Genomic DNA, 15233 nt, shown 5'->3' on the forward strand with positions numbered 1-15233 from the left:
TACAGTTCAGTGACATTAAGTATACTCATATTGTTGTACAACCATCACTACCACCCATCCACAGAACATTTTTTACCTGCAAAACTGAAACTCTGTGCCCATTAAACAATAACTGCCTGTTCTAGGCCCCCATTCCCAGCCCTTGGCAACCACTTTGTCTCTGAATTTGACTACTCTAAGTACCTCATGTAAGTAAAACAATATATTTTTTGTCCTTTTGTTCCTACCTTCTTTCACTTAACATAGTATCTTCAAGGATCATCCATGTCATAGCATGTGTCAGAATATCTTTTCTTTTTTAAGCCTATATGATAGTCCATTGTATATACATACTACATTTTGTTTATTCATCTGTCAGTGAATACTTGTGTTGCTTCTACATTTTGGCTATTGCTAATATGTTGCTGTGAACGTGGGTATACAACTATCTCTTTGAGATCCTGTTTTCATTTCCCTTGAGGTATACACCCATAAGTGGAATTGCTGGATCTTATGGTAATTCTGTTTTTAATATTTTGGTACACTTTTATTATTGGGCTTAGATTTTTTTCCTAATCAAGTTTTTTACCAAGCAGCTTTAGGGAGAGAATAGCGAAACACATACTTTTTAAGTATTGCCTCAGACTTTAGGCAGAGTTTTGGCCCATTATGATAATCTAAGTAGCACCCATGTACTGAATAAGTGAATTCAAAGAAAGGTTATGTCAGGCAACTATCTCAAAGTTTTATTATCTCTGCTTGCAATTTTTGTTCAATCATCGACCAAGTGCTTGAGGGCTTACTGCATGTGAGGCTCTGTAGACTAGTATTAATGAACTTTCCTTTTGTCCTTGCAGTACCAGGTATCACTATCATGCATTTTGGAGCTTTGATCTCAATTTTCTGCCAAATGAATGGTCCTGTGTTTTGTGCTTGTTCGTTTACAAACAGAGATCCCTCTGACCACTGTGGAACTAGAAGGTGTGTGGTCAGAGAACCATGAATGGGCTGCTCTCTGCCTCTCACAGCAGCTCTGCTTCTCCTTGGGACTACTCCTTGTTTTCCCCATTCCTAGCCCATTCTCTGTATATCCTTGGTCCAGATTCCAGAGGGTCTGCCAACTTGCACCCCATTCAGGCATCCATTACCAATATTTATGAAGCCCAGCATTTCTCTGGTACAGAGCAGGCAGTGGAAATTCCCTTTTGATGATAGATAACAGCTCCTGCATGCAGACTGGTGGGGGTAGGAGAGTAGAGGTAGCCACTTTCTGGATGGGAGTACTGTCATCAACCCGAGGGGAACCCCTTCATAGGCTAATCAGTAATTCCTGAGAGGCCCAATAAGGGCAATGACAACTACTCAAGTCAAACAGGTTTCTACTGATGGAAATCTTTGAACCAACTACTCTTAAATGCATTCCATCATTGCTAAAAGAATACGGTCATCTTTTGTTTAATGATGGGGATACATTCTGAGAACTGCATCATTAGGCAATTTTGTCATTGTGCAAACATCATAGAGTGTACTTAAACAAACCTAGATGGTATAGCCTACTATATACCTAGGCTATATAATACAGCTATACTATGTATAATAGCTATATTGTAGTAATATTATATTTATATTATAGTAATATAGTAATATTTATATTATTATATAATGTAGCTCTATTATATATGTGTGTGTATGTGTGTGTGTGTGTGTGTATATATATATATATATATATATATATATTTATTTATTTATTTATTTATATTGTATTGCTTGTAGGCTACAAACCTGTACAGCAGGTAGGCAATTGTAACACAATGGTATTTGTATGTCTCAACATAGGAAAGTTACAGTAAAAATATAGTATAAAATATTTTTTTAAGTGGTACTTGTATAAGTCACTTACCATGAATGGAGCTTGCAGGACTAGAAGTTGTTCTGGGTGAGTCAATGAGTGAGTGGTGAGTGAATGGGAAGGCCTAGGACATTACTGTACACCACTGTAGGCCTTATAAACACAGTATACTTAGACTACACTAAATTTATTTTTTAAAATTTTCTCTTCAATAATAAATTAAGCTTAGCTATTTACTTTACAAACTTCATCATGTTTTTAATTTTTTGACTGTCTTGTAATAAATCTTAGCTTATAACACAAACACATTGTACACTTCATAGACTTCCAATTTTTAAATTTTTTTGGTTTTACTTTTTAAACCATTTTGTTAAAAAACTAAAACACAAACACACACTTTAGCCAAGGCCTACTCAGGGTCAGGATGATCAACATCACTGTCTTCCACCTCCACATCTTGTCTCACTGGAAGGTCTTCAGGGGCAATGACACATACGGAGCTGTCATCTCTTGTGATAGCAATGCCTTCTTCTGGATGCCTCCTGATGTACCTGCCTAAGGCTATTTTACAGTTAAATTTTTTTTAATAAGTAGGGGAGCAGTCTAAAATAATGATAAATAGTATATCATAGTAAATATATAAACCAGTAACATAGTTGTTTATTATCATTACCAAGTATTACGTACTGTGCATAACTGTATGTGCTATACTTTTGTATGACTGGAAGTGCAGTAGGTTTGTTTACACCAGCATCACCGAAAACATGTGAGTAATGCATTGTGCCATGACATCACAACAGCTATGACATTATTAGGTGACAGTTTTTCAGCTCTATTAAAATCTATTAAAATCTGATGGGTCATATATGCAGTTTGTTACTGTTCTAAGCATTGTCATGCAGTGCAAAACTGTAATGTGGCATCCTTAAACTTTCAGGAACATACTTCTCATTAATATATGTCTAAAATCTCCCATCCTTCAAAAGCCATTACCAGGACCACCAACTCAGATGCACCTCCAGCCCTGTGCTCCATTGGCCCAAATGGTTTTCATCACTCATTGAATTCACACGTCCATTTACATCTTTCTTGCAGTATGTTAGTATTTTGCCTTTATAATCAGCAACACAGTAATATCACAGTCATGAAGAGACCCCACTGACAGAAAGACCTGAGTTCAAACGCTGATGCTGTCACTTGGGCTAGTGATTTAATATCTCTGTACTTCATCTTCTTAAGTGACCTTATAGGTCACTGAAAGAATTGAATGAAATAGTACATTTAAGTTGTCTGTCCAGGAGTCTGGGAGTTCATTAAGTTCAACAATTGTTACTGTGATCTCTTGTACACCTTTTTATCCCATATTATAGTATAAATCCTTTCAGAAACAATGGAGAGTACAAAATAATTTTTTGAGGGTATTTATTTGCTTTTCCTAAAGTCAATTTGTTATTATTTGTTAATTTGAATGGAGATTAATTCTTCCAGAACACTACACAATGCCTCTGTCATCTACTTGTTGAATTACTGTTCATTATCTTAGTATTCATCCCATCAGCCTATCAGTAGAAGAACACAGAAACAAAAGAAAGGAAGCCTTTTCTGGGATGTAAGAGGTTTTTTGTTTGGTTTAGTTTTTCCTTTTTTAATCTATAAATGCAAAGGAGTGGGCTACAGAATCTCTAAGGTGTCTTTTAATTCTCACATTCTAGAAACCTGTAATATCCATTAATGTCAAATAATTTTTCCTCTATTTTGAAGCTACTCCTTTTTAGCTTTGCCAACATTCTCCCTTAAATGCCCTCTTTCTTTCCAAAATGTCATCTAATATGGTTTGTGTTTTCTAGAGTGCCTTCTCTCTTCACTTTCACCTTCTTTGTGCAATCTTTAAAATAATAGAAACCTTGTTTTAATAATCAAGATCTATTGCTAAAAATTCTACGAAGTCATATATACACCAGGGAGGGTGGTCTGTTTTCTAGATGGTTTCTGAATACACCCTCATTAAATCACCTGGTAGCCACTTAATGGGGGAACTGTGGAGGAAACAAGTCATGTGCTAAGTCAAATCTATGAAGCATCTGTCTAGCCAAAAAAAAAAAAAAATTGCTTGAGGAATAAATGACTCAGGTGGACACCACCAGTTTTCACCTTGGCACTCTGTTAGTCCCCATGTCCTTTTTGAGCTTACAGATGGTCTTAATTAAAAACAAGTAGTTTTTAATTTACAACACAGGAAACATTTAGAATTTGTTGTAGAAGTAGAGTTAGTGGAACCTAGTAACCCCAATCTCACTCCCAGACAACTACCTCCATGACTTTAATTCATTTGTACAGATTCCTGATGTATTCATAAGTCTTTTTTATTACAAGTAAAATATACTTCTACTGCACTTTTTTTTTAAAAGTTGAAAGTCACCATATCAAGACTTGACTTTTCTCCACCCTGTGTCCTTGAGTTGTGTCAAGCTTGTAGTGGGAGCTGACTACAAAAATCAAGGGCCCTGGGTCTGGAATATTAATGGTTGATGGGCTTCACCTTTCATATGTCACATTCTCTGTGACATTAGTGTCCCGAGGCTTTGTAAAATGGAATGCTGCTTGTTTTGCACACACTTATCTTCTTGCCATCCAGCTTTTTCTACAAACGCTCTAATAGCTGCTGTTTCACATTTACATTTCCCCCGCTTCACATCATGTGTTTCAGAAACAGTCAATTCCACTAACAATTTTTCTAACAGCCTATTCTGTTCAAAAGTATTTAGCCCCATTTTTTAAAGGCAAATACTAACCTTGGAATAATGAATGTCCTTAGACTCACCTGCACTTCACTTCACTCTTTGCAATAAACACACATACCAACACTCAATTTGTCAAAGTTTTTCAAGAGGTGAGGGGATGAGGTTGAAGGTCAAATTATGAATGGTTGTTTTATGGTCTGGGAGACTGGCCAACAGTAGTGTTCTTAAGATGGAGCTTGAACTGGACAAAACTTATGGTATAATCCCAGGAGACCATAAGTCACATACTATTCCGGATGATTCTTCCCTGTTCCTTAAAACTCACATTCTATGTAAAAGGTGGCTTGATATTGACATTATTTGCATTTAGACACCAACACTTTTATAAAAATAGATAGAAGTGACTGGCTTTTTATTTCACCAAAGTTTTTTTAATTCTTTTATTTCCAGAGTTTGGGAAGTTCCTTATGCATAATAATTGTTCATTATGAACTTAGCAAATATATTTCTTTTATCTTTTATTGTATATATTTAAGGTATACAACATGATGTTTTGATATACATAAGTGATTACCACAGTCAAGTCACTTAAGACATCCATCATCTCACATAGGTATCTTGTGTGTGTATATGTATTAAGAACACCTAAAATCTACTCTTTTAGCAATTTCTAGTATAAATACAATGTTAGTAACTAAGGTTTTCATGCTGGACATTATATCTCCAGACTTCGTCATCCTACATATCTGCAACTTTATACCCTCTGACCAACATCTCCCTTGTATTTCTTTTATAAAATTTTTGAAAAGCTTTTTCTAGGTAGATTTCAGTGTTTCTAAAAACTTTCGTTTCTTAATATTAAACTATTTGAATCTTCAACTAATAGTTCTATTCATAAACTAAATACAATTTTACAATGTGGGATGGGAGAGCAAATAGGAGTTAAAAAGAGTATAACCTTCAAGTTGAGTCTTCCTCTCTGTTCGACTCCATGCATCTTCATGCTATCAGTATACACAGAAGAAATGGTTCTGTAAACTTGGAAGGAAAAGGTGTATGAACCAACTCTGCTTGTGAGATGAGAGGGGCCTTTGGAACAGCTGTAATTAAGCTAAGAGCTCTGTAGGACCAGATAGTTACTCTTTATCCTAAAAAAAATTTTTTTTTTAAATCCATACCTAAGTTGGAGGGTTCAAATTTAACTCAACTAGAGAAGAGCCACAAAGATAATTAAAGGGTTGGTAGGTAGTATCTATTAGGAAAGAATAAAGAAACTAGGATTATTCCACCTGGTGAAGGGAAGACTGATGAGTGATTTAAAAACATTCTTAACATGTTTGATCAGTTATTCCAGTGACCAGCTGTTCTCTATCTACAATGAGGACAGAACCAAAAGAAATAGCCTTAAATTCCAATATGAATAATGTAGATTAGATCTAAGAAAGATTTCTCTGAGAGTGAGATTTTTAATATTGGAATGAAATAGCCACTTTGAAGTCTTTAAATCTGACATAGATTACCATCTTCCTATAGAAGAGAGTTGTGGTGCTAATGGAAGGTCAGAGGATAAATTCTTTCATTGTCCCTTCTATACCTATAAAATCTATGTTTTTTGAGTGAGTTTCTCTTGCATCTGTTGAGCATGTAGAATTACTTGTCTCAGAAAGTACTGAAGGCAGTGAAGTTAACCATTAAAGATTAAAACAGTCTAGTAGATAAAGGTTCTTTTCTACATAGAGGATTCTCAGACCTACACAAAGCAGCTCTAGACTACAGTAAACCCCTACTTTTGTTGATCTCACAGTCATACACAAACACTGTCCTCTTTATCTATCCCGGAAGAAGTAAAGAGAAATAGAAAGAAAGAAAAAAAAAAAAGCATGGTTTTTTTCATCATGAAAAACAGCTGAAAAACAGGCATTGAATTCCCTAAGTCGAGGTAAACCGAATTCCCTAAGTCATGCACAATAGAAAAACAGTGTCTACACTGTGAATTATCTTTTTCCACTTTCCAATATTTTAGTATCCATTGACATACTAAAAAAAGCAGGATGATAATATCCTTAAATTCACAGACTATATCAAAAAAAGTGTCACTTTGTAGGCCTTCCTATGATTATGCTTCATTTAAAAGTACTCACAAGATCCCACTCTTCCCCTTCTATTACAGTAATTTGCAACAATTTTAAGCAACTTTGCAAAGTGAATAAAAAGGAGTTGAAGCATCTGCAATTCAAGGCATTTAAGTTTTAATTCACAAACTGCAGCCCTGAGAATAATTATGAGGGCCTAGTTATTTTCTGCTATGCTGCACATGAAAGGCAACCGATCACTTTTTAAAAAAATACCCAAGATGCAGTATTTTTAGAATTGTTATCATTCTTCACTTGAGTGATTCAATAACAGCAGAACTTGCACTGCAGTCCCCAAAAGAGCTTACATAACTAAACATATACAATCACAGAGGTTTAAAATTAAGTGTCTGGGTAGTGCGTTGCCTCACAGAATATTTGATGAAGGGCATGAAGCAAATCTTTTAAAATTTGCTTCCCAGAAACTCTTAATACTATGATAATATAGTGCCCAATAAATATGTGGATCTCTAGAAAAATATTTTGTGTCTTGATACCTTTATATTTATATTTTTATAATCTCTATTCAAATAGCCATAAACTAAAAGTCACTTAATACACTGGATAACTTTAAAAATCTGATTTTTAAAAGTAAACCTCCAACTTTCTCAATATGGCACTATAATTGACACAGTTAAGACAAAATTTAAGAGTTCAGCTTCTGTCATAACTTAGGAAGGGTTTAAGTGACCATATTATATACTTTATTATCTAGACCTAGATACCTTGAGAGTAAAGGAGGCCCTATTGATAATTATACCAGAATAATAAGCAAAAAACCCCAGAACTTTCCTAGGCAAACCTAGAAAATATGAACATCCTTATCATAGACCAATATGGTCCAGTTTGTTATAGCCAAATATAGGAATCTGCAAGGTCTCCAGGAACTTGGTCCTCTGGGTTGGGACTGGTATACAGGAGGTAATTAACTGGTATGAAGGTGCAGAAAGGAAGTTTATTTTGGAAGTCAAAGCATCTATCAAAAGGCCACTCCGGAGAAGTCGGCAATGGTGGAAGCCAAACTTGAAATAACAAAGGTATCCTATCATATGTGTGGAGCATGGTGATGACAGAATAAAATGCAGGAACATTTCAGAGTACCAGACAAGCAGGGAAAGAATCAGTAAGCCCTTAGAATTAAAGGGCTGAATCTAATCATCCAATCACCTATAACCATTATATGAATACCTGCTATGAACCAAAGTCTACCTTAAGCTTGGGTTCATGAGTACAGCGGCAGCTACCAACACAGGGTATCAGCTAAAAACAAACAGATGATTGTTTACAAAAACTACAGCACAACGTAAGGATTAAATCTGAAAGAAAAAGACAGAAGTCCTATGTCAAGAATCATGGAACAGGAATAGGACAGAGCTTCAGTTAATACAACTATACCCCAAAGGTAGCAGCAAAAAAACAACTCAATGATTAAAGACAGGCAAGTTCACACCACATGATAGGGATTTGTCCCAGGGATCAGGATCAGGGTTAGGCCGGCTGATGGAAGACCAGGGGCCCTTGCCCATGGGTAGGAGAGATATGCAGAGGCCAGGCCTGAAAACTAGTTTTTCAGTAGAGGAACCTCTAGTTGCTTTTTTGTTAAAAAGCAAAAAAAAAAAAAAAAAAAATTTAAAAAACATAAACAATACACAAAATGAAAACATTAACAGCAATAAGGGTACCTAAAGTAGGAAAAAAGACTTAAGCATGAAAATAGATACTATCATAGCAGATACTTCAAATTCCTAAGGCTGCTCAGATACAAGAGTTTAAAACAATGACGATTATAATGATTAATATTCAAATTGTCCTCAAGGTATTACATGTAAGTGCCAATATCTTAATATAAAATTAAGCAGAGATATAAAATGCAAATGACAAATCTATACAGTAAGCTGGTAGAGCTAGAAAACTACTAGTTCTAGCAGTAAACAAATAAAGTAAAAGTAAGCTCTAGAGACTACATCATTTTCATCTATATCAATGAAATTCTGACCTTGGATAGTCAAACAGGGTAAAGACAGTAAATGGTATTCTAATTGATGAGTGAGTACTCCACCAATTCTCAAGGAATTCTTGTTTTCTCAAAAGTGATTTGATATTTTACTGTATCAACTTTCCTATCAAGTTTATGATAATTAGTACATCTATATCTTTATCTATAAATTTAAAAAAATCTGAATAGGCATTCAACAAATCTTAAAATTTTATAAATATTTTAGAATTAAATTGTATTCCAATTTAATTATTCTAAAAAATTGACTCTACTATGATCATTTTTTTCCTGTATATGATTCTATTCTCTTTTTCTTACCTATTCTGTGTTAAACTTCTTCATTAATTTATTTATCTACTTTATAAACTTGTTAAATCATTAAGGAGGAGGCCTCTGTTCTAGGGTTTGTAAGGGACACAAGGATGAAACCAAACATGAGTCCTATCTTCAAGCTTACGTGGAAAATGCACAAAATATGCCCTGGAATGCAAGGTAGGTTCAGAAGATGAACAAATTATTTCTATATAGGAAACTTACATCTGAACTGGGATTTAAAAGGGGAATAATATAATAAAAGACCTAAAACAAAAAGGCTTGATGTTTGTGCATTTAAGAAATTTAAAGTGTTCCAGATCAGCTGGAACATAGAAAAAGGAAGTAAAGAAAGATAAGCTTGAGGCTGGGTGTGGTGGTTCATGCCTGTAATCCCAGCACTTTGGGAGGCCGAGGCGGGTGGATCACCTGAGGTCAGGAGTTCAAGACCAGCCTGGCCAACATGGTAAAACCCCATCTCCACCAAATTAGCCTGGTGTGGTTCTGTAATCTGAGCTACTCAGGAAGCTGAGTGAAGCAGGAGAATGGCTTGAACCCAGGAGGGGGAGTTTGCAGTGAGCAGAGATCGAACCACTGCACTCCAGCCTGGGCGACAGAGCAAGACTGAAAAAAAAAGGAAAGGAGGGAGGGAGGATTGAAAATGTGGAAATGAGCCCATCGTGGAAGGCTTGAATGTCAGGTAAGGAAAAGTGAAAGAAAAGAAGCCAGTTAATGCTTTTATGTAGCAAAACAGCAATTAAGACCAGCTCAAACTATTAGACAAGCCTACAGTCACTTGGGCCTGAATTAGGGAACATGTAATATTGCTTACGTACAATGCAAGGGCTTTAAAACCAATGAATGTTAGAATCATAGGAAAGGAAGACCTGGAAGAAGTTAATACTGAAAAAACAGTAAATAGATAGATAGAGGAGGAGCATATTTAGCAGATGAAGTCAGTCTTGAACATGCTAGGTGGGAAGTAAAACTAAGGCATTCTACATGGGATAACCACCAGGTAGTTAAAAACATGTGTCTTCAACTCAAAAGATCAAAACCTAAAGTAAAGATTTGAGATTCACCAGAACAGATGACACCAAGAGGAAGAATACAGAAACATAAGAGACAAGATCCAAGTAAAACATCAAAGGATGCTTTTAGCCAGCAAAGGCAAGAAACGGGTCAAGAAGGGAGAGAGATAACAGAAAGAAGAGAATCAAGAGAGCTTACTGTCATGAAAGTCAAGGGAAAGTAAGTTCACGGAAGGAGGTATAGTCAACAGAGTCAATTGCTAAAAGAGTTGAAAAGACCTGAGAAAAACCCGTATTGTCCCACAGTCAAGATAATATATGAGAATATTTTACCTTCTACGCATGCCTATATAATGTATTGCTATATAATGTAAATATATATGTATATTTACATATATATAAATGTATTGCTACGATTATAACTACTATTATTCTCTAGTCCTTAGCCAGGGTAATTTGAAACCTTTTATTCTTCACCTAGCTTATTCAGAATTATGAGTATTCAATAGAATTAATATTTCCTTTTTTAGACTCTCAAACTTTTCATCAATAAATATGCATATATTCAACTATGGTAAAGATTTATTTTACTAACAAGTGTGTCCAGAATATATCTTGATCCTAGAAGGAGGCTGAAATCTTCACTGGTTATCAGGGCAATTGTGTTGATGAAGTCCCCTGTTCCAGCCACCCATTCAACTGGCAGCAGTGAAGACAAGGAATCCAGAGCGACATTGTACTCAGCTCCATACTCTGCTTGCCTCCGCTGACACAGCATTTCAGAAGTATCCCACACAAAAAGAATCAGCATCTTCCTATTTTCATAAATGGCATGAAAATAAGCATCCATCTATCTCCACCCATGCCATGCAGTAAAGCCAAGCCAAAGCACTAGTACTTCGCAGCTGCCAGACTACTCCTCCTCTCATGCCCTGCAGGGGATCAAGTTTGTCAGACATCAGTCCAGCTCTCCGGTGAACAGCTGATTAATGAGGGGTGGGTGAAATAGCCACCAAGCAGCTGCACCATTTTTCAGGGACAAAGCATGATGGTTAATGTTGATGGAAAGATGAATGTAAGGAAACTGCAGTTAAAGTCCTTGATAAGAAGAAGCACTACTCAAGCCAGCTCCTGGCCAAAAATTTTCTGATTGCTTTTCTGACATCCCTCATATAAGGGAGACAGTCAGCTAGTGGCATACAATTAACTCCATGGTTCATGGACTTATTCAGCATATACTTAATGTAAATCCACTAGGTGCCAGACATTGTAATAAGGACTAGATATTTTATCAACTTAACTAACTTACATACATGGTAGACACTGTCCAGGAATGTCTTCTTTTGTTCAAATCTAGCCTCGCCTTTAAAAGTCCAGCTCAAATACCAGCTCCTCTAGGAAGGTTTCTCTGAGGCTCCATAGGCAAAAGTAATGACTCTTCTCTAAATTCTTACAGCACTCTATTGGGACCTCTGTTATAGAACATGATGAACATCCCACATTGTAATTCCTTATATGCGTCATCTCCTAATAGACTATAAGTAACTTGAAGCCAAGATTCATGTGATCTTCATACCTCATGTCTTTAATATATTCATATTACCCAGAACATAATGTAGTTCTTTGCATAATTAATGTATTAATGAACTACCTGCTGTCCACCTTAGCCCAACACAGTTAGATGCTTGGGGTGGGTGGGGAGGGAATCGTCTTATTCACTACAGCCAAAATCTATTTTGAAATTTAAATGGAGAGACAAAATAAACAACAACAATGTTTTTATGTGTCAGTATAATACAGTAAATAATCATAATTCCACGTCAATAAGACCGAACATAGCACACTTTGATTAAGATAGGTTTTAAATCTTTGCATCTATTAAAGAAAGGATTTACTAAAAAGAAAAAGTTACTAAATATTCATGACCTACTTAAGCTTTCTAGATGAACTGTTTTTAGGTATTTATAAAACATCAATTATACTAAAATCTTACATATTCATTGAAACAGGCCAAATAACATTCCTACTTTCCTCTATCAACAAAAGGTTGTGTTAGCAAGGAAATTGGGTAACTACTTACTTGAGATAATTCTAAAGTTATACTTACTTATAAATAATCTATATTATTATACTTTGCAAATTCACCCCCATTTGCTTCAAATGCTCTAATTTAATGAGAGAAATCTTAACATGTGGAGGATACTGAAGCACTTAAGGGCTACACTGACTAAGTAAATGAAAGATAGGAATCAAAACCCACTTTTTTTGTAGAGGAGATGGGCAACCAGTAGTACTGGCGGTATGTTATGTAGAAAGAGTAATAGCTTAAGAGTTTGAAGACCTAGATTCTAGGCCCCATGCTGGTATGATGAGCTCTTTGTCCTGGGGTAACAAATTTAAACTTTCCAGGTCTGTTCACTTTTCTAAAAATGTCAGCTTGATAGATTTGCTATAAAATAAGATAACAATAGTCTCATTATGAATTGTCTCCAAGATATATTATAGAGAATTAGTATCATCCAAACAACATAAAGGCTTTAAGGCACAAATATCTGGGGGGGGAGGTAAACTTACTAACCATATGTATTAGAGTTTTCCAGAGAAATTGAACAAGTAGGAGATACACACACACACACACACACACACACATATGGGGAGAGAGAGAGAAGGTAAAGAATTAGTTTACATGATTATGGAGGATGAGAAGTTCAAGTCCCAAGATCTACAACTGGCAAGCTGGAGAACCAAAAGGGCCAATGGTATAGTTTCGGTTCAAGTCTTAAGAACTGAGAACGAAGAGAGCCAATGGTGTGAGTTCCAGTCCAAGTCTGATCCTGAAGGTAGAAGTCTGTGCCCTAGCTTTATGACAGAGAAAGCAAATTCTCCCTTATTCTACCTTTTTGTTCTATTCAGGCCTTTCAGTGGCTTGGAAGAGGTTTTCCCATATTGGGGTGGGCAATCTACTTTACTGAATATACCAATTTAAATGTTAATCACATCCAGAAGCAGCTTCACAAACACACCCAGAATAATATTTAACCAAGTATCTGGGCACTCTGTAGATCAGTCAGGTTGACACAACACTAACCATCACAAGTTCACCCTTGTTAACCCATATACTTCCTCTTAAACCATACTTAATCTCCAATTAAAGACAATAACAAGGTTATAACTCTGCCTAACATGATACAACCATTCTGCATACAACCAAAAACACATTAATCCTTTCTGCAGAAGAGGATGTAAAGTCCTTGAGTTATGTTTATATCTTTTTCTTGATATCCCATAATTTAAATACTATGACGTAAAATTAATACTACTTAATACTATGATACGAAAGTGATACATCTTATGTTACATAATAAGGGAATAAGGGAAGAAAACAGATTTTTGCTTAATATATTTACACACACACATACACACACAAACATATTCATAACAAAATAAAGAGGAAATAGGATAACTATAATTCTTGTTTTTGTAGCTGGTCATGTGGTCATAGATGGTATTGATAACTACCTTCTTCCACCACTCATTCTGTATTCCCTTTGCCTCCAGCAATCACATTAGCTGACTATGTTTCTTTACCTGGTAGAGTGACTTAAACCTTCATTCCTGAAGGATCTAGGCTGTTAGCAGTCCTGTCTGGATTGGGTTATTATAGTTTTCCATTGACATTAATCACAGGGCATGGTAGACTAAGAGACACGCTAGGAGATCCCCTATATGCCATACACACTCCTCCTTACCTTCGTGGTAGAATAGCAGTCCAATTTCCCCTTGCTAGTCAGGGTCAGTCACCACTGCCAGCACAGTAACTCCCTTCTTTGCCTGTTGATTCAGAGGCATGAGGAATCTAAAGTGGCCAGGGAGCAATCCTAACTTTCATTTCAATGGAATCATTGTTGTGTCTCCCGATAGAAGCATTCTTCCTTTGGGAACTGAGACCTCTAGACCAGCAGAGCATAAGGTCATGGGAACAGGAAGCAAAAATTTTGCTAGTTGGTCACTAAGGGTAATAGTGAGTGATGCCAATCCCATTTTTACCTTTGATTCCTAGACCCATAAATTCTGGCTATGAAAGAAATAGCACCATATATTTAACACTGATTCAGAGGATATACAGTCTTTTAGGGAACCTTGCCTCAGCCTTGCAAGGTATTGCCACTGAAGTGGCACTGTAACTGAGGCTTCAAAAGGCCTCTCCACCACCTTTCAAGCCAGCAGCTTCAGAATGTTGGGGAACGTTGCAAGGCCAATGAAATCCATGAGCATGGGAATTTGCCCAACTTCTTTTGCTATAAAGTGAGTTCTGATCAGAAGCAATGCTGTGTGTATGCTGCTAGGGCAGATAAGACATTCTATAAGTCCATGGATGGTAGTTTAGCAAAAACATCACATATAGGGAAGGCAAATCCATATCTACAGTGTCTATTCCAGTAAGAACAAAATGCTGCCCCTTCTATGATGGAAGAGGTCCAATGAAATCAACCTGCCACCAGGTAGCTGGCTGATCACCCTGGCGAATGGCGCCATATCAGGGACTAAGTGCTGGTCTCTGCTGCTGTCAGATTGGGCACTCAGCAGTGGCTGTAGCCAGATCATCCTTTATGAGTGGAAGTCCACATTGCTGAGCCCATGTATAACCTCCATCCCTGCCACAGTGGCTACTTTATGAGCCAACTGGGTGAGAATAGGTGTGGCTGGGGCAAGTGGCTCACTGGTATCCGCAAAAAATGTCACCCTACCTACTTGATTATTAAAATCCTCTTCTGCTGAGGTCACCCTTTGGTGAGCATTCACATAAAGCACAAACATCTTCATGTTTTTTGCCCATTCAGGTGGGTCTATCCATATACCTCTTCTCCAAATTTCCTTGTCACCAACGTTCCAATCAGTTCCTTCCAAGTCCCTGACTGTCCAGAAAAATCACTGGATACAACCCATGAATCAGTACATAATCGCATGTCTGGTCATCTCTCCTTCCAAGCAAAGTTTACAACCAGGTGCACAGCTTGAACTCTGCCCACTAGGCGAGTTTCCCTTTACCACTGACCTTCAGGGGTATCCCAGAAAAGGACTATAGTGTTACTGCTGCCCACTTTCACATGGTGCCTGTGGAAACATCTGTAAAGCTGGCTCAGGTCTTTCCTCCTCTCTCAACTGATCATAGCAAACTTTCTGTGAGGCCAT

At 36.7% G+C, this 15233-nt stretch overlaps 1 protein-coding gene across 7 annotated transcripts in view, besides 2 other annotated features; it reads right to left on the minus strand.

The window, feature by feature from the left end:
* Positions 1–15233, minus strand: part of COL25A1 (collagen type XXV alpha 1 chain) — a 493934-nt gene that overhangs the window by 428983 nt on the left and 49718 nt on the right. The window lies entirely within an intron of this gene.
* Positions 11018–11187: an enhancer, noted in NCBI's record as "experimental_71700 CRE fragment used in MPRA reporter constructs". NCBI's record gives its function as "activates a minimal promoter by MPRAs in K562 erythroleukemia cells, with activity observed for both the introgressed and non-introgressed 4:110169966 or rs75525989 variant alleles {active_cell/tissue: K562}" and the evidence as "EXISTENCE:reporter gene assay evidence [ECO:0000049][PMID:34662402]".
* Position 11103: a transcriptional cis regulatory region, noted in NCBI's record as "Neanderthal adaptively introgressed variant 4:110169966 (GRCh37/hg19 assembly coordinates) or rs75525989 in the experimental_71700 CRE". NCBI's record gives its function as "modulates activity of the experimental_71700 enhancer by MPRAs in K562 erythroleukemia cells {active_cell/tissue: K562}" and the evidence as "EXISTENCE:reporter gene assay evidence [ECO:0000049][PMID:34662402]".

This window comes from Homo sapiens, chromosome 4, assembly GCF_000001405.40.
Source record: "Homo sapiens chromosome 4, GRCh38.p14 Primary Assembly".
NCBI lineage: Eukaryota > Metazoa > Chordata > Mammalia > Primates > Hominidae > Homo > Homo sapiens.